At 35.9% G+C, this 20,175-nt stretch overlaps 1 protein-coding gene across 21 annotated transcripts in view, besides 1 other annotated feature; it reads right to left on the minus strand.

Annotated features, from left to right (window-relative positions):
* The window catches only part of NRIP1 (nuclear receptor interacting protein 1), a 104,702-nt gene that overhangs the window by 63,613 nt on the left and 20,914 nt on the right, over positions 1-20,175 (minus strand). For 17 of the 21 annotated variants that reach the window (NM_001439278.1, NM_001439276.1, NM_001439275.1 and 14 more), the window contains exon 2: positions 18,648-18,727. The exons of 1 other annotated variant lie outside the window; for it this stretch is intronic. The gene's annotated coding sequence lies outside the window, so the exon portion shown is untranslated. Of the gene's footprint in view, positions 1-15,515; positions 15,570-18,647; positions 18,728-20,175 lie in introns of all 21 variants that reach the window. 3 more of the 21 variants (XM_047440994.1, NM_001439281.1, XM_047440993.1) reach the window with 1 other exon arrangement.
* Positions 6,409-7,608: an enhancer, noted in NCBI's record as "BRD4-independent group 4 enhancer chr21:16403577-16404776 (GRCh37/hg19 assembly coordinates)". NCBI's record gives its function as "activates an origin of replication core promoter dependent on BRD2, P300/CBP, MED14 and CDK7 cofactors, and independent of BRD4, by STARR-seq in HCT116 cells {active_cell/tissue: HCT116}" and the evidence as "EXISTENCE:reporter gene assay evidence [ECO:0000049][PMID:35650434]".

The following is a 20,175-nucleotide window of genomic DNA, read 5'->3' on the forward strand; positions in this document are numbered from 1 at the left end:
ATGTACGAAAGGTATGAACTCGCATTTCACGAAAGAATACACTAATGGTGAATAATCACATGAAAAGATGTCTAACCTTATTGTCAATCACAGAAAAGCAAATCAAGACCAATAAGATGCCATTTTGCATCCAATAAATTAAGAAAAGGGTGGTTTGAGGTGAGCAGGATGACAGAGAAGTCCTTGCACAGGAGTGGTCCAGCACTGGGTATCAATGCCCAAGTTGGAGCAGAAGGGCATCCACAAAAAGATGCACTGTGGTGTGCAATGTAGAAATCGATGTGGGGTGAGAACGGCTTCCACATAAAGGGGCTTTGAGGCTCAAGTAAAACTAAGGGGCAGGGTGAGGGACAGGAGAAATGGCAGATTGACTACATACAGGGAGAATGATCAAATAAAGTAACACTAAGGATCATGGTAGTCAGGTTTCTCACTATAAGAGGAGGTACAAAAAGGGAAGGAAATATAATTGAAGCCTATAGGATTGGAATGAAATTAGAGATATCAGTATGATCAAGGGATGACATGTCAAAAAGATACTGAAGGGGGTACTGCTGGCAAAATCAGGGACAAGATGGGCACCAAAATAAGTTACAATAGTAACGGATTACAGCTCACTGAATAAAATACGGGCTCATAAGCACACACTGATACAAATAAATTAACTAAAACTGTGATCAGGAAAGGGATTTTACATAGTTTCAAAGCACCTGCATGCAAAATAATTATTAATTACAGAGGGAAAATGAGTAATTTCACAGTAGATGAAATTAGCAGACACCATCTTAATCAAGTAATCCCAGTGAAAAGTCAACAGTAATGGGTCAAAATGAAATTGTATGCCACCGCAGAGGATGCAAAGAGAAGACACAGTATCACTTCTGTGATATTCCTGCTCAATATTCATAACATGGATCTAATCATGAGGAAACAGAAGACAACCCTAAAGGAAAAGATATTCTACATAATTACGGGCCGACATGGTCTTCTAACATGCCAGTGTCTTTAAAGTCAAAGACTGAAGAACTGTTCCAGACTGTGGGAGACCAAAAAGATGAGACAATAAAATGCAAAGTGTGATTCTAAATGGAATCCTTTTGCTGAAAAGGACATTATCGGGACAACCTGGAAACTTGAATGAGCTCTGACGATTAGATAGTAGTGATGATCAATGATTTTGATGGTTTTGTTGTGGTTTCCAGGACAAGGTCTTGTTTCTTTCTGGGAAACACACACTTGTTTATTCATGGGAAATAAGTCAACAGAGGAAAAAAGTTCCACTGTATTGTACGTGTAACTTTTCTGTATGTGTTACTTTAAAATTAAAAATATGTAGAATACAAATGCATAAAAAAACAGTTTTGAGTACATAATGGGCATAGGACATAATAAGAATTTCATAAGATAGTACACCAATGATGAAAAAACACATGAAAAGATGTTCAGCCTCATTCGTTATCACACAGAAAAGTAAATCAAGATCATAATACGATGCCACTGTATCTACTAATTTGGAAAAAGTTAAAAAGTCTGACAATTCTTAGATCTGACAATGATGTAGCTCAACAGAAACTTCTGATATATTATTAATGAAATGTAAACTGGTCTGATAACATTGGAAACAACTTCATATTATTTCATATAATTGAGCATTCTTTACATATCTACTCTTGGGTATATACCCTAGAGTCTTGCACATCTTCTTCAGAACACATATAAAAGAACGTTGACATCAGCAATGCTTATAATAGTCATACATATGTGTGTAAATATAAGTACACCTATATATGTATGTAAGTATATCAACATAGGTATATCAAAAACAAAACAAAACAAAACAATAACAAACAAACGAAAGGACCCAGCAACCATCCAAATGTCCACACAGAGGGGAAGAAATAAATACACACAATGGAATATTGCCCAGGAGTGGAAATAAATGAACTATACCTACATACAGCAGTATAAATAAATTTCAAAAAACCAATATAAGTTGAAAAAACAAGTCTCATAACTGTACATATTAAATAACTTAAAGAGTGTAACTGGGTTGTTTGCAACTAAATGTATAAATGCTTGAGGGGATGGACACCTCATTCTTCATGATGTGCTTACTTCACATTGCATGCCTGTATCAAAACATCTCTGTACCCCATGAATATATACACTTGTACCCACAAAAACTAAATTAAAAAAAAATTTGAAACAGCAAGTATCCGAAGACTTCATACAGAATGCTACCATTTTCGCAAAACAAAAACATAAAGTAACATATTACTTAAAGATTAATGTAAAAACCAGTATTATTTAAAAGGCAGTAAATGATTAACACAAAATTGAAGAAAGCGGTTGCAAGACACCAGGGGCAAGGAGAGCAACATATCGACAGATTCAGCTGTGGTAGTTAAGTCTGATTCTATGCTCGATGGTAGGTTCTTGGCAGATCACTGTCATATTGTGCCTCATAATTCAAATACATTCCTGTTTATACCAAGGGTTACTTACATAACAGAAAACAAGTGGCTATATTGTGGCAAATCAGAGCTTTGACAAGTATCTTGTTTAGGTAAGCATCTTAATAATTTTCACACATGAACAAATGTTAACTGTTAGGTGACAGATTTTCTTTATTCTCCTTGTTAGAAACAAAACCAAAGGAGTATATAAAGAGATACACTCAAAAGAATTGAAAAACTGACTGGCAGATAAAAACTTATAGCTTGGTCAATCAAAGAATGAGGCTAATTCATATCTACCACCACTTTGGTCTCAAATAAAGCTAACATAAATGCTTGCTTACTTAATTACTGCGAACTTCAGAACTGTCTGATGAAAGATGATCATTTTGCAAAAATTACTTAACATGAGAAATAGGTAAACTGGAGTAATTCAATACACTTCAGGTTCTTAACAAAATGCATTTTCCCTCTAAATCTAAACGGGCTTTTTTCTCTCTACTTGGTCACACAGGCCAGCAATCATATATTCACCATGACAGCCAAAACTGTGATGAGAAATACTTAATCCATTTTAAAGAGCAAAGTTTACTTGCACAATAAATAACTCTTTATATTTATTATATGGTACTTCCATCTAAAAAAAATACAATTCAATTTTCTCAACAACCTTGCATTACAGGTAAAGCACACACTGTTAAGCAATAACCACTGCATGTAGTATAATACTTAAAAATATTTTAAATAAGTTAGAAATGTGAATGATACTCTAAATCAAATTTGCTATCCAAATACTTCTTGAGTATCTAGCATGTGAAAGGTACTTTATAAGGTGCTTTTTTGGCATTTTATGTGATGCACACGGATTGAAAATCTTAGCTACGTGCTGCATTCTTGTTAAATGCAAATGAGTACAATAATCTTGTTAAAAGACATCTCACACTAATTCCTCTTCAAAAGAAAGGGAGTGAGAAGCCATTCATCCTGATAAACTTGCATAAGATATACTGTACTGATTCTTTCTCTGGGCTTGGATTTCTTTTTAATGATGTGCTTGCACATTAACTACAGGCTACACAATACTGAGGAAGTTGGAGTGGGGTAAGATCGCCTATTTAATAACACATTTCCTTTAGAAGGATCATTGCTTCACGTTACAGAGGAAACAGTCATAAAACTACATCCACACCATTAGTCCTTGGGTTGTATTTCTTTTTGTATGTATATTTTTTACAAGGTTTGGGGCTGAAAAATCAGGCACTGATTCAAAGATTAAATAGATTTAATATGCAATTTTTAACACTAACGTAGGCACTAAATAAATGTACAGTGTACAAATGTTTATTTGAATACTCTTATTTTAAAATTACTTCCAGTGTTTCCCTGTGTTGTTCAATGGAACATAAAATATCCACTCCATATAACACTTAATTTTTCTATTTCCTATTCTTTATTGTTATTATTGAAATTACATACTTTTAAAAGTCATTTCCTATTATTAATGGTCAATATCGTTCTTTTAAAAAATATACATTGGTCCAAAAAGTATTTATATAAACAAGTGTTTATCTGACATCCCCATTTGGAGGTCTCCAAGCATTTCAAGTTTAATATGTCAATAACTGAGTCCCTGTTATTCCTAATCTCAGATCAGCTCCATTCTTCCAATTGTTCAGGCTGCCATCCGAGATGCCTCTCTTCCTCTCACACCCACATACAATCTTTTAGCAAATTCTGCAGGCTTTACCTTGGAATCCAGAATCCAGAATTCAGCTACTTCTTACTGTCCCCATTCAAGTCATCTCCTTCTCTCCTGAATTATCATAATGGCCGCCTCACTGGTTTCCTTGCTTCTGTTTTTGACACCTCTTTGGTCTACTTAACACAACTGCTGAAGCGATTCTGCTAAAACATGATATTGGGCCACTCTTCTGCTCAAAACTTTCTAGGGGCTTCCCCCTCTGACCTCATCTCCTGTGACCCTCCCTCACTCACCCCACTCCAGCCACAGGAACTTCGACTGGAATACTCTCCTTCCCAGAGGGCTGCATCACTAGCTCCCATGCTGACTCAGCCTCTACTCAAGTCACCCTCCGAGTAAGGCCTTCCCTGGGTGTCATCTAAAACTTCCTGGACATCTCCCCTGCCCCTGCCCTCAATACCCTCCATTCTCCTCTCTTTGCTTCAATTTTTATTTAGCACTTAATAAGATACCATAAATTGAATTGCTTTATCTTATTTGTCTATCTCACCAATAAAATGTAAGCTCCAGGAGGGTAGCAATTTTTTTTCTCTTTTGTTCACTGTTCTATCCCCAGGACTTAGAAGAATAACCGAAATACAGCAGGCACTCAATAAATATGACTGGGTAGGGTGCATAGTTCACACCCATAATCCCAGTGCTTTGAGAGGCTGAGGCAGGAGATTGCTTGAGCCCAGGAGTTTGAGGCTGTGGTGAGCTATGCTAACCCCACTGCACTCCAGCCTGGGCAACAGAGTCCCTGTCTCCAATAAAGGAAAACAAATAAATAAATAAATAAATAATAAACATGTCTGTACTTTGTGATCTCACCAGAGAGTCTGCAGAGATGAGCAAAACTCATATCCTCACCAGCTGTGACAAACACTGCAGTGACCTCCTCAAAAACACACTGTCCTCTTCCTTATCCACCTGTAGAAACTCACCCTCTTCCCCTCAGGAGGTGAATCCCAATTAAGTAAAGCCACTTGTGACAAATAATGTCTACTCTGATAGTAAGAGGCAGGGCTTAGGCATGGGTATATGATTTAATTATGACCAGTGAAGTTGACAAGGAAATGTGGGAAAATAGCCATCTTTCAACCATGAGGAGTGACATCACCAAGTCACTCAAGATGGCAGAGTAGAAAACAGAAAATACCATGTGGGACACTAATAAGATCATTATGACAATTCATTAACTGCCAATACTCCAAATTTTTTGTTGAGTGAGAAGATACACCCTTACTGTTTACTTTACTTGTAGTAAGGCCTTCTATTACTTATATTTTTATTAACACAGAAAAGTTTTTACGAATATTCACACAGTTTCCCACACTGGGTTAAGTCAAACTAACACGAAGTTGGATTGATTCCTCTGGTAGAAGTCAGGGGTTTTCCCTTTCTTCATGCTGCATGCCTAGACAACATGTCACATGACAATAAAACAAGATATTTCAATGGAAATCATATTTTCTCATAGGAATAATATGTTACAAACAGGGTTTCCTCTTAATTAAGAATTGAAAATAAACATATTACCAAAGCAAAGGCAGTACAAATATAGAGTTCTAATAAGTTAAATGGTAAAATTATGCTCCCAATGACTACATATTTAACAATGTTCTACAGAATAAGTGCTCACTCAGAGGGAGGAAAACATGGAAGGAGGGAGAGAGGAGGATAGGTGGTAAGGAGGGAAGAAGGGAGGTCCCAAGGCCAAATAAATTCAGGAAATGATGATTTAAGTTAAAATAGATCACGACATTCCCTTTCTATGTGTATACACTCTGGAAGGCGGTTGGAGGATCACTACCTTCCCCTTCTATGTGTGTACACTCTGGAAGGCGCTCGGAGGATCACCACATTCCCTTTCTATGTGTGTACACTCTGGAAGGCACTCAGAGGATCACCACATTCCCTTTCTATGTGTGTACACTCTGGAAGGTGTTCAGAGGTTCACCACATTCCCTTTCTATGTGTATACTCTGGAAGGCGGTTGGAGGTTCACTACATTCCCTTTCTATGTGTGTACACTCTGGAAGGCGCTCGGAGGATCACCACATTCCCTTTCTATGTGTATACACTCTGGAAGGCGCACGGAGGATCACCACATTCCCTTTCTATGTGTGTACACTCTGGAAGGCGTTCAGAGGTTCACCACATTCCCTTTCTATGTGTATACACTCTGGAAGGTGGTTGGAGGTTCACCACATTCCCTTTCTATGTGTATACACTCTGGAAGGCGGTTGGAGGTTCACCACATTCCCTTTCTATGTGTATACACTCTGGAAGGCGCTCGGAGGATCACCACATTCCCTTTCTGTGTGTATACACTCTGGAAGGCGCTCGGAGGATCACCACATTCCCTTTCTATGTGTATACACTCTGGAAGGCGCTCGGAGGATCACCACATTCCCTTTCTATGTGTGTACACTCTGGAAGGCGTTCAGAGGTTCACCACATTCCCTTTCTATGTATATACACTCTGGAAGGCGGTTGGAGGTTCACCACATTCCCTTTCTATGTGTATACACTCTGGAAGGCGCTCGGAGGATCACCACATTCCCTTTCTATGTGTATACACTCTGGAAGGCGCTCGGAGGATCACTACATTCCCTTTCTATGTGTATACACTCTGGAAGGCGCTCGGAGGATCACCACATTCCCTTTCTATGTGTATACACTCTGGAAGGCGCTCGGAGGATCACCACATTCCCTTTCTATGTGTATACACTCTGGAAGGCGCTCGGAGGATCACCACATTCCCTTTCTATGTGTGTACACTCTGGAAGGCGTTCAGAGGTTCACCACATTCCCTTTCTATGTGTATACACTCTGGAAGGTGGTTGGAGGTTCACCACATTCCCTTTCTATGTGTATACACTCTGAAAGGTGCTCAAAGGACACCACATTCCCTTTCTATGTGTGTACACTCTGGAAGGCGCTTGGAGGATCACCACATTCCCTTTCTATGTGTATACACTCTGGAAGGCGCTTGGAGGACACCATCATTCATCTGAGATGCTCCCACTCATCTCTGAAGTAATCCTAAGTTCAAAGTGGAGGAAGGAAGTAGGTCAGTGATAGTTTGACCCAAAGGGGTAATTTTGAGTCAAAGGGTTTTGATTTTTAGCTCAAAGCCAAGCCATTAATAACAAAGCCAGAACTATGACTATCCAAAACAAGAACTCTTCAAATTCTCACTACAACCACCTAACAAACCACACACTGCCTCATTATAAAAGTCTTAAAAACTTTGAAAATTCTAATAAACTCCTTGTACTATCAAGTAACTTACTGTAGACAAAATAGAAGATATTTTTTAAAACTTTCCTATAGGATAAACCTAACTCTATCCTTAACACAGTATCTGTAATATACAGTAATTGTTTAGTTATCAGTAGTTTTAGTAGCTGTCATTTTTGAAAAAATATTTGGATAAATGATGGCTCTAAAAAAAAAAACCGTTCGAAGTCACTGAAAAAAAGTAGGTATTTCCTTCAAAACCTTCTCACCATATTCTCTAATAGTAAACAAAGGCTTAAAGTTATTCTGTTGGTAAAACTTCAAAAAGCAGCAACTGAATCAATTTAACTAAGGACTTTAGTCCAGAGAGGATGTCTTGCTCATTGTAAGGTTGACTACAGAGGTCTACTGATTTCAGATCCAATCCCTGCTTCCTTCTGCTCTCCCCTGGTCACACTACATTCAGGAAATGAAGCAGGAGATGCAGCAGAAGGGTGAGTTAAGACTGGAATTAAAAGTCTGAAGCCACAGAAGGACCAAAAGATGTGTGTGATGTAAAAATGATTTTACAAAAATATAAAGTAGTCTGTTTGATTTCAAATATGGTTCTTTTAAATAATGGGCCACTGAGAAAGCTGAAAAATTAAAATGATCACCGGGCGCGGTGGCTCACGCCTGTAATCTCAGCACTTCGGGAGGCCGAGGTGGGTGGATCACGAGGTCAGGAGATCGAGACCATCCTGGCTAACATGGTGAAACCCTGTTTCTACTAAAAATACAAAAAATTAGCTGGGCATGGTGGTGGGCACCTGTAGTCCCAGCTACTCTGGAGGCTGAGGCAGGAGAATGGCGTGAACCTGGGAGGCAGAGCTTGCAGTGAGCCCAGATTGCTCCACTGCACCCCAGCTTGGGCGACAGAGCGAGACTCTGTCTCAAAAAAAAAAAAAAAAAAATACTGCATACTATGTGCCAGGACTACGTTAAATGCTTAACGTAGGCTTAATTCCTATATGGTAATTCTCAAATAACTCTATGAATTTATTTCCATTTTACAGATGAGAACACTGAGCCTTAGGGAGGTAAGGTGATTTGCCCACAGTCAACAATAGTAAGTAAGTGGCAGAGTTGGGGTTCATACCTAGATTATCTGGTCTTGTTCAAAACCACCACATCACAGCCTGTGTCAACTTCAATCCATTTACCCATAAACACTACTTTGGCTGAAATGCAGTTTCTTAAAGATTTTAAGTAGCCTCAAGTATACTTCTATACTGTAATGGTGACTTTCAACATGGAATGTAAGTTTTAAAACAATTATCGAGTGGGTTATTGTCAGTTATCATTATTAACTTTATTAATTAGACACTAGTAAATACCTGTTACAATACTGCTAAGACATACATTATTTCACTTAATCATTAATTGTAAAATAGATACTATCCAATTTTACAGATGAGGCTGAGAAGTTTGGTGACTTTCTCAGTTAAGGGGTAAATCTGGGATTCAAACTCAAGTCAGTGTGTTTCACAGTAAGGCATTCCACAATCACTCCCCAGTAAACCTCAACAGTGTGAGATCAATTGCCTTGGTCACCTGGTCTCCTGATCATTTCATGAAAAATTAACCATCTGTTTACAAATCATTCATCAAATTTCTTGTTCCTGGAGCTATGCTAAAGACACAAATATAATTACAAGTCCTTGCTGGACCCCACTAGACTCTTTAAATAAAAATATGTTCCTAGGGTCATCTAGATTCTGGCAATTTCTATTGCAAATTCACCAAATCCCTTGCTTTTGTTACTACCACAGGATAAACACCCTGAATTTCCCTTACTGGAATAAAGCCTGTTAAAACTTTTTGCAGGAAAATCTCTAGGACTTTTTAGGTATCAAAAAGCTGAGGAAATGTTGGTACTTTAAAATAAATCCTGACCCAGTAAGAACTGGCACTGAGCCTTTTATTTTCTTGCAGTCAGCAAAACTACAAACCTATAAAAATTCAAATAGTAGTTAAGGGGCATGCATTTTGAAGTAGTTCCATATGTGGTGAGTCACTTCCAAACTCATGCTTTATACTGAAAACTTTTTTTAACCTGGATATGTAGGCAGAAATCACTTTTAAAACCTATCACAGCCATACTATGAAACGAAAAGCAAGTCCATGTGGGAGTTTACTAATTGTTTCCCCTGAAAACTGTTTTCCTGGGGGGAAAAAATGAATATTATTATTGACTCCTATGTACCACCTTGCTTTATAGTTCAAACAAATTCAGAAACTGTTTTTCCTAACCCAGTATTGATCTAGATATTTGCAAAAATGAAATGAAAGACAGGTTAATCATCCAACAAACATAATACACAAGTGTGTATGAGGAGAGGAGAGCTGGAGGAAGTGGAAAGAACTAGGTCAGTAGGTGGCAGATGTTAAGTGGTTCAAACTTGAAAGGAATCCTAAAAGCATGGACCGAGGTTTGTGGAAACTCTTAAAAGTAAATGAACATAAAAAATAAAAAATAAAAATAAAAATGTGTGGAAGAAAGGTTCTAATTAGAAGGACATGGTGATTAAGTAAAACAGTGATCATCCAAAAACCTATTTTCTTTGTTTTGAAAAATACATTAGAATTAACAATATTGTCCATAACACATTATCTTTCTATAGCATTACACTGATGCACTTTATGTATTTCCTCATTTATTCTGCATAATATTCTTATGATGTAAGATGTATCCTCATCTTACAGATCAAAAAACTGAAGCTCAGGTTAACTGATTTACTAAGAGTATATGTGAAGATGCAGGGCTCAAATATAAATCTTAGGATTCTAAAGCCATCATTTTCCATACTATTCTATTTAACTGTGGCTGTGACAGTAGCTGCTCTTAATGCCTACTCAAGAGGTAAAAGAGAAATATACCCTTTGTTTTAAATTTTTTTAAAAAAATAACAATTACCTCTGCTTTTTCTGAAGAGAAAACAGGAATCCTTATATCTCAAATAAATGTTTTCTTTTAAAATACAAGTTTACAAGGTAATAAGTAGTATTCATGTGATAAGTTTATCAGAAACAAGTCTAAATGCCTGAGCCAATTTAAATAGTTCACATTTATTCATTTCATACAATGTTGCTATAAAAATAAAGTCTGTATAATTCTCATTTTACATTAAAGTAACCAAGATGAAGAGAGGTTATACTAATAAAAGGTTTAAAACTAAGAAAATAGCTTTCTGTGGTCACCAGACTAAGTTTAAATTGTATATGACTTTTTTTTTTTTTTTTTTGAGACAGAGTCTCGCTCTGTTGCCCAGGCTGGAGTGCAGTGGCGCGATCTCGGCTCACTGCAACTTCCGCCTCCTGGGTTCAAGCATTTCTCCTGCCTCAGCCTCCTGAGTAGCTGGGATTACAGTTGTGTGCCACCATGGCCGGTTGATTTTTTGTATTTTTAGTAGGGACGAGGTTTCACTGTGCTGGCCAGGCTGGTCTCAAACTCCTGACCTCGTGATCCACCCGCCTCGGCCTCCCAAAGTGCTGGGATTACAGGCATCGTGATGTATATGACTTTCTAACAAATACTGTAATGATGCTATTCATCCTTAATAGAAATCCATGGGAGTATTTAAATAATACAATAATGTTAACGATTTCTTATTTTCTGAAATTACTGCGAAAATGGCAAATTAGCAGTAACTCAGTAGAGGAGTATCACTATTAATACAAACTGCATGCCCATGTTTTTAAAACACTTACAAAAGTAACTTTAATAACACTCCTTGTGAGGTTATATCCATTTCTATGACAATAAACAGGCTGTCTTTCAGAATTTTTGTTTGTGATATGAATAAAGCCAGAAGATCAATATTTTTTTAACCTACACTGGAAAAAAATGCTGAATATTTTCTAAACTTTATGCCCTAGATAATAAAGGGCTGTGTATACTGCCCACATAATCTAGATGGCCAATAAAGTTAACTTCCCAAACCTATTCAGTTGCCAAAAGGGTATCCCAATTGCACATCATATTTTGTTACAGTAAAGAAGATTGAGAAACTATAATCATTTCCTCCTCCCAAATTCAGTTTCTGCTACTACTCCGTGTCACCAACATCTCAGCATTTAAATACATAAAACCACAGTCAGCCCAAATGTTCAGGGTCTATGTATGATTACAGAATTCATCTTTGCTTATGCTGCTGATTCTATGAAACTCATTTCCTCCTTTAACCTTTTACCATTTCTTTCTGTGAACTAAATTTACACCCACTACCCAGATATACATGATCTTCAGATTTTGGGGGTTTTTTTGGAGGGGGGGATATCTCTGAAAGTCAAACTTATTTCATTCTTAGATACTGTTCTTAGCACGAGAACCATGCCCTAATCAAATAAAAAAAAAAGTCACTATCCCCAATTCAGTCCCATTTAGAATCTCCACTAGCCAGGCAGGCTACTTAGCAATATTTAAAAAATACTCTTAAGAAATAGAATTGAAAAGGTTGGGTTTATCTTGAAGAAATTTAGGGAAATCTGTGAAATGATTCTTTTTTAAAAATATACTTTACCCCAATGTGAATTAAATATGAAAAACTAAGGATAAATTTTGGGAAGTTAACAAAACTTTTATCTTTGAAATTGTTACATTCTAAGCAGGTAATTTATTACTTTCACCAAAAGCGTTTGTACTTTCCCTCTTGATGAACAGCAAAGAATATTAAGTCTATAGTAACTTATAAGGAAATAATAAGCAAAATTTAAGCAAAATAATAAGCAAAATTTGTTTAGCTAACATATTAAATAAATTTTGCTTATTCAGGTAAGGAACATTAAAAGAGCATTCTACATATCACAGTAAGTTAAGTCAAAGAAATGTACATATTCAACAAAATAAAGTCTGAGTACTGTCATAATTACCCATATCACACTTTGCAACCTGTAAATTTCTAACACACATGATATCATTTCAAGTCTTCATACAAAGCACATGAAAAAACTGTTGCACAAATGTAAGTAACTTGCGTAATATAACAAAGATGAACTTTTATCTTTTTTGATCGTTTCTAAGCTTTAAAATTATATCAGGACACACTCTGGAGTTGTGTTTCACCAATACTTTGATTTATCACCCTATATGTGGGAGGCATCAAGTTGAGTGCTTTGTAAGTCACAAATTTATAAAAGATACAACCCCCTCCATCTAGAAGTTTATAATTTTGCTGCAGCGATGAATGAAACGCTATGAAAAATAAAGGCAGTGTGAATGGCATTCATCAACCACTAGGAGAAAGTAGATGGGAGCACATGTTCCCTTCTGTCCGAGTGATCATACAAATCACAGGATGGATGGCCTTTTGGTAAAAGAAAACTAGTAGGGTTCAAAAGACATCTGAGCTGAAGATAGCAAAAATAATGTGGCAGAATAAGAAATGTGCAATTAACATGCTTAAGGAAGGGGCAAACCAAATATTTGATCATGAGATATGCAAGGAACCAGGTAGAAATAGGACTTGTCTTATCTTGTGAGCAAAGGTCTTTGTTCAGGGTAATAATAATTTTCTGCAGAAAGTTTTACTTTGCTGTGTAGAATGTATTGGGTAATAAAAACTAAAAGGCAAAAGACCAAATAGAAAGTTACTGCAGTAACTATCTAATAACTATCTAATAATCAGAACGTAATAAAGCCTGAATTTGGAAAATGGCAGTGGAAAGACAAAGAAACCAAAACTCATAATTCTTCCTGTTCCAATGAAAATGATTATTGACATAGTCATAATTAGGGTTGACTGCAATCAAATGTTAAATATGTAAAGGTGTAATATAAAACCAAGAACCTGCCAACAGACTTTCAGGAAAGACTTTGATCACATTTATCATCTCATATTTATCCTACAATGTAACAAACATTATAATGTCCCCTTTGAATGTATTCTAGGGTACCATATACCATAACTTGGTATGTCTTTAATTAAATTTTTGTACTATTTTAAAAACATTTATTGTAGTTGACCTAAAAATAAAACTTTGAGAACTACAATTAGATACCACCTGTATAAAATGAAAGCCAAACTATACTTCTCTTTCCAAAGAGGAAATTTGGAAAAATTACTTTCCAAAACCTTTTGAGCTCTGCCTGATCTATACTAAGATACCAAAATATAATGTATGTCTCCTATATTTTACAGAAACAGAAGAAATCTTTTATAAATGTACTTCTCAGACTGATTACCAACATAATTTTATTATCCAAATGAAAAAAACACATATTTATACCTATAAGAAAAATTACCTGACCATAATAATAAACCCTATTTTTTGAAAACTTCATATTTACATATTACCTTTCAAAGGGATGTGTATGTCAGTTTGATGAAAAAAACTACTTTCAAATTATTCAAATCATCCAAATGTATTCTTATGCTTATAACTTACAATTTTTGTTTTCATTTCCTTTAAATATTCCCTGCCCCAGAAAACCTATAAAGGCAAATTTTCAGAAATAAAAAAAAATGTGTATCTTCTCCATGCATTCAATAAATAACTAGTCTATAAACAGGTATGTCCTCCTTCTAGATGCTCAGCCTCAGACTAGCTTCTTCAGATTTATTAGTAACGAACGCAACAGAAATTCTTGCCTTCAGGGAGTCCCAATTTTAGAAAGATTAAACAATAAATAAACTATACTTTAAAAAGAAACACAAATTTCATTGTATTTTTAAAGGTGTTAAGTGCTTGGAAAAAGAGAACAGCATAAAGGAGAGAGGAAAAAGAGGAGGCTTCCGTTTTGAATTGTGTGGTCACCAGGGTGGGCTTCACTGAGAAGACGCCTTTTCAGCTAATGCAAGGACTTTAGTTTTATACCAAGTGAGGTGAAGGCTTTTAAGCAGAGAAATGATTTTCTTTTCTTACTACCCAATAAGAATTGAGTGTCAACAAGAGTACCAATTTCATTTAAGAGTGTGGAGGTAGTATTATCAAAAATGTGTTGGGGGTAGGGCTATAAAACAACCACTGTATCCCAGATCTGGGAACCAAAACAAGCACTAAAGTGTGATTATGCCGTTTATTTCTCAAAGGGCTATTCCCTCCACAATAAGTTTCCATATTGACTGTTCTCACAGGTCAATAGTCCCTTATCCACATTCCCAATTTTGAATACCAAGAAGCTTTAAAACCCAATTTGGTGGCAAAATCAAACCCACATTAATGTGAGATGGTTTATAGTCTTGATTTATCCCATTTGGCAAAAATAAACATGAAGAAACATTAACCCTCAAAATTTAGGTAACCTTTAAATATCCTAAGTAATGAGAAGTCATAGGCACATCTATATGTACACATACAAACTATCTGTAAACTTCCCTATTTTATTAAATATGGTGGAGTTACAGCATACAGCAATTTATCACATTCAATTAAGCCAGCCATGCTTTTGAAAAAAGAAAAACACACTTCCCCTAAAAGTAAAATTCTACCTAGTATAATAGAAGCTGGAATAAGATGGAAGATATGAATCTACTGTTACAGATTTTGATTTTTTAGTTTAAAGATATGTATCTGTCATTCAACATGCCCCCTAAACACTGGCTAATTGATTTATCTGATGTTCAACCAAAGAAAATGCTACTTATTCCAAAATAGAAGGAAAAATAGGCTGTTTGAAACTTACTGAAAGATGGTACTTCAGCATTTGACATGGCACCTTTCTACTGGATTTTTAAGGGTAATTTTAACTAGTCATGAACTTGACTAAAGCACTGTCTTTTAAAAACCCAAAATGTAACTCTATAGCTGTGCTGTCTAATACAGCAATCACTAGACACATGTGGCTACTGTGCACTTGAAAGATGACTAGTCAGAATTCAGAGAGCTGTGCGTCAAAACACACACCAGCTTTCAAAAATTCAGTACAGATTTACATTATTTTTCAATGCAAAATATCTCATAATTTTATATTGATTATTCATTGAAAGGATAACATTTTGCAGATACTGGGTTAAATCAAATATATTATTAATTTCACCAGTTACTTTTAACCATAGCTACTAGAAACTTTAACATTTAAAATTTAAACTTACATAATGTAGCTCACATTATACTTCTAGTGAACAGCACTGCTCTATAGGAAAGACCTAGAAAAAGATTAATTTTTCAAATACTTATATGCTAGAATGAATAATATCAATTTTAATCACCAGAATAATAAAAACACAAAGGTCACAAGAAACGCTTGTCAGGAATGCTGAAATAAGTGTTTTGTGACTCAAAAGTATCTATTACTTTAAATATTCAAAGAGGTGTCCAAATATTCAACTAATAAAAAAAGCCTTCAATACATGTTATGCCTGATTTGCTTCAAAATCCACTTTCAGTATTTCAATCATACGATCATAAGTACATAGAGGAGGATATTGTGTCCTAGTTTCATTCACTAGGGTTAGAACAAACCCAGGTTTTGTGAGCCAAATACATATTATAATGGAATCAGAAAATAGGTAACTTATTTTTTAATAGATGGGAAAATTTAAATAACTCCTAAGAAACAACTTTAGAGTTTACATTAAGTCAAAGAAAAATAAGTCTCTCTAATTATAAAACCTACCATTAACAAAAGACACACTGATTGACATTTCCTAAATATTCTTAAAAGCACTGTAAGTACCTATTACTCTAAACACATGCACATCCCACCACCCAGCAGTTCCACTCCCATGCTTACACTGTACTCATGAGAAATGAAGGCTTATTTCTACCAAAAGACCCAAAAAAGTTCACAGCAGCCTTATTTGCAGACACAAACTCGAAAGAAAACTAAATGTCCACTTACAGTGGAATGGATAAATGGTGGTATAATCATAGAATAGAACATAGACAATTTAGGGGGAAAAAACAAATAACATACACAACATGGATGACTCTTACAGACATAATGTTGATAAAAAAAGACACTGATGAGTTCATACGACATGGTTCCAACTTTATATAGTTTAAAACAGGCAAAACTAATCTATAGTAAAAGACGCCAAAGACTATTCCTGTTAGGTAGAGGCAGGATCGATTAGAAAATACACAAATTACAATAAGCCTTCTGGAGTAGGGTGCTAGTTACTCAGACTATACTTACATAAACAACAATCAAGCTAGCAAATAAGGGTGTCTATTTGATTACATGAAGTTACACTTCAGGAGGTTTTGTATAAAAATAAGAAACTTCTTCTTAAAAGGACCTTATGCATTATGATTTCTTTTCAAAATAATTACTTAAAACTAATTCCTATCTTGAATATACATGGGAATTTGTCGATTTAATCCTTCAGCTAAACTTTCAATTTCTTTGCAGTTTCTTTTTAATAAGAATAACTATCAACTCTATTGAAACATACCTTTAATTTTGAGATATGATAACCTTTCATGAATTGATAATTCATATTAGCATTAAAATTATAACTTCCATCTTTATAGCTAAGTGTGAATGTTTATACGAAATATTTATAATAGTTCATTCTCATCTTTAATTTGAAAAGATAACTCTGAATTCCATAAAATCCAGTTTCTGATCATATAATTTATTTTACTGATAAAGTATATTTTAAATTTAATTTTTTGGGTTCATTTACAAGTTCTTTCACAGACCTAATTTGCTTATTTACATTTCTTATTTGCTTTTGCCTTTCCCCCGTAACCGACAAAAAGAGGAAGAATATGCTGGTTTGCCAATAAATAATAATCTTAAACACAGAGTTTCCATTTTAAAAGTTCAATGCAGCATGCTGGGGAGACTTATTAAAAGACTGTATTCAACCAACCCTAGAAATTCACACTGCTTGACAGTGATTAAGAAAATCGGTAAAAACCAATTTTTGTATTATTTCATATGAATAAAAATCATGAATATTCAGCTAATAAAGTTACATCTGTATTATAGTAAAAGAAGGTGGCCAATTCACTATAATCTTAACAAATACATTATTTTATTGCATGTATTTATGCATCCTTCCTTCATCTGTTTCTATCCCAAGCAAGACAGCTGGCAAAAGTTTTTGAGAAGGAAAACACAAGATACAGAGGAGGTATAAGGTCGAATATTAAGAAGGATGCCTTGGATATAGATCAAGAAGACTATGTTCACCACTGACATTAGTCAAATTGGCTGGCATATCCATATGTGATCTATGAGGTATGCTATGGCCTGAATGTTGTGTCTCCCCAAAATTCATAAATTGAAACCATATTTGCAATGTGAGGGTAATTTGGAGGTGGGGCCTTTGGTGAGTGATTAGATCATGAGGGCAATGCCCTCATGAACAGGATTAGTACCCTTATAAAAGAGGTCCCAATAATTCTCTGGCCACCTCCACCCATGTGAGGTTACAGTGAGAAGTCAGCCATCTATGAGGAACAGGCCCTTACTAAACATTAAATCTGCTGGCACCTTGGTCTTGGACTTCCCAGCCTCCAGAACTGTGAGAAATAAACCTCTATGGTGTATAAGCCTCCCATCTATGGTATTTGTTACAGCAGCTCAAATGGACTAAGATAAGGTACAAAAGACAAAGCACAAAGTGAGTAAGTTTCTCAACAGATGATTTTAACATAACCTTCCTTCCTAGTAATATGTCACATGTCCTGACACTCTGGGCCTACAAGCAGATAAATTATTATGCTATACCAATCTATCCACAAATGATAATGCAAAGAGAGAATTTCGCAAATGGATGTTCGGAGGCAAAACCAGGTGGCCTGGCTGAGTCTGTCCACGGACTCTGATGACAGACTGATCCAAATGCAGATGGCAGCTGATCCCTACACTAGAAGGTAGAGCTGTCACAGGCAGGAAGACTTTTAAGACTGCCTGAATGTTTCAGGTATACTTCACACTGTCTTAGATAAAAAGGAACTTTATGTATCTCATTTTCAAATCAAGACATTCTTTAAAATAGTTCTATAGTAGTAAAGTAAAATGTAAATACCTCAGTGTTTAAAATAGGTAAAACTGGTTTACTCTAAACCAGACGTTTTATTCGCTTACACAAAATTTTGATTTACCAAAATTGAAATATAACCTTCTTTGTGACAAATGGCAAGGTAGTTTATCCATATCTAAAAGTTAAAGAAAAATAACAAAATGTGGCATAACAGTCTTACTTTTCTACAATTGGAAAGGCTTGATAACATTTTTAAAAGTGGGGCAATGAGACAAAAGACAATACCTTCTGGCTGTGTTTCTCCCAAATGTTAAAATAATGAGTCCTGAGAACAGTTCTGAAATAGCTCACAATCCAAACACTTCCTGAAAATTAAGAGAAATAAGTGTTACTTCAAGTGCACCTTATCTCAAAGATTTGTTTTACAATGGAATTTTAACTACTAACTAAATCATCTCAAAAAACAACAAAAAAGATGTATTACAAGGTAAAAAAAAGTATTCATATTCTTCATGATACATGCTTTCTTTGGACATAGTTGTTGACCACATGTAACAAAACAGCTTTCATTACAGAATTATTTGCCAAAATACACTACCCAATTGTTTTTTTGTTTGTTTGTTTTTTGAGGTGGAGTCTCCCTCTGTCACCCAGGCTGGAGTGCAGTGGCGTGATCTCGGCTCACTGCAACCTCCGCCTTCCAGGTCCAAGCGATTCTCCCACCTCAGTCTCCCAAGTAGCTGGGATTACAGGTGCCCAGCACCACGCCCGGCTAGTTTTTGTATTTTTAGTAGAGACGAGTTTTCGCCATGTTGGCCAGGCCGATCTCAAACTCCTGACCTCAGGTGATCCACCTGCCTCGGCCTCCCAAAGTGCTGGGATTACAGGCGTGAGCCAGCACACCCGGCCCACTACTCATCTGTTTTTATTTTACTATAAAGATTGTCCCTATTGTCAATGATGTAAAAAGTTAATGTCAAAGATAAAGAGGAATTTCAGTCAAGGATTCTGGGAGAAAAAGTATTAGAATTATTTAACAGTCATTGCAGAGTTTGAAACACCTCATTTCTTTTCTGTACCACTAGGAACAGAAAATGTTAAACTCAGAATTAGAACCATACTAGATATAGAATGACACTGACGTGGAAAAGTTCATACTTTCAGGAACAAAAGAGTGGATCAAAGTTTTTGGCCAGCAAGAGATGTAGCAAACAATTTAACATTGTGGTGGCTGAGGAAACTTTATTTTGGTCAACAGGCCAATGGACAGTGAAGCTAGCGGTGATAAGGGAGGTACCATGCGAACTCCCTGATACCACCATAGCAGCATTCCATTTCTATCAGCCACGCCACTTAGATCTGACTTATACTTCTAGAACTCTCAATTCCTAGCCTATAACCTATGATCAGTTCTCACAGATTATAGCTTTGAATAAAAATACATCTGTAAACCTGAATTCTAACCTCCCAAAATAAAGTAGCTATTTTTCATTTTCATTTCATTTTACTGGGGGCCCTTCAGTCTCCTTAAAACCACTTAAAGATAACAAATTGCTTAAAGTAATACTTCCCCAAAATCCAGCTCTTCACCACTATACCTGTAGGTCACTTAGTCTGTATCTTGCTTATTGTTATTCTCCCTGTGTCTGTGAGCCTTCAATACCCAGCATGGTGCAAGGTATACAGCTGGTACTCAGTAAATGTCTGATAAATGACATCAATTAATCACAGAGCCTTAATCAATTAATATGCCAGGCTTAAGTAAAAATATAAAAGAGAAGACGGTAGTTTTATATGGACCAACTACAATGAA

The sequence above is a fragment of the Homo sapiens genome, chromosome 21 (genome assembly GCF_000001405.40).
Source record: "Homo sapiens chromosome 21, GRCh38.p14 Primary Assembly".
Lineage (NCBI taxonomy): Eukaryota > Metazoa > Chordata > Mammalia > Primates > Hominidae > Homo > Homo sapiens.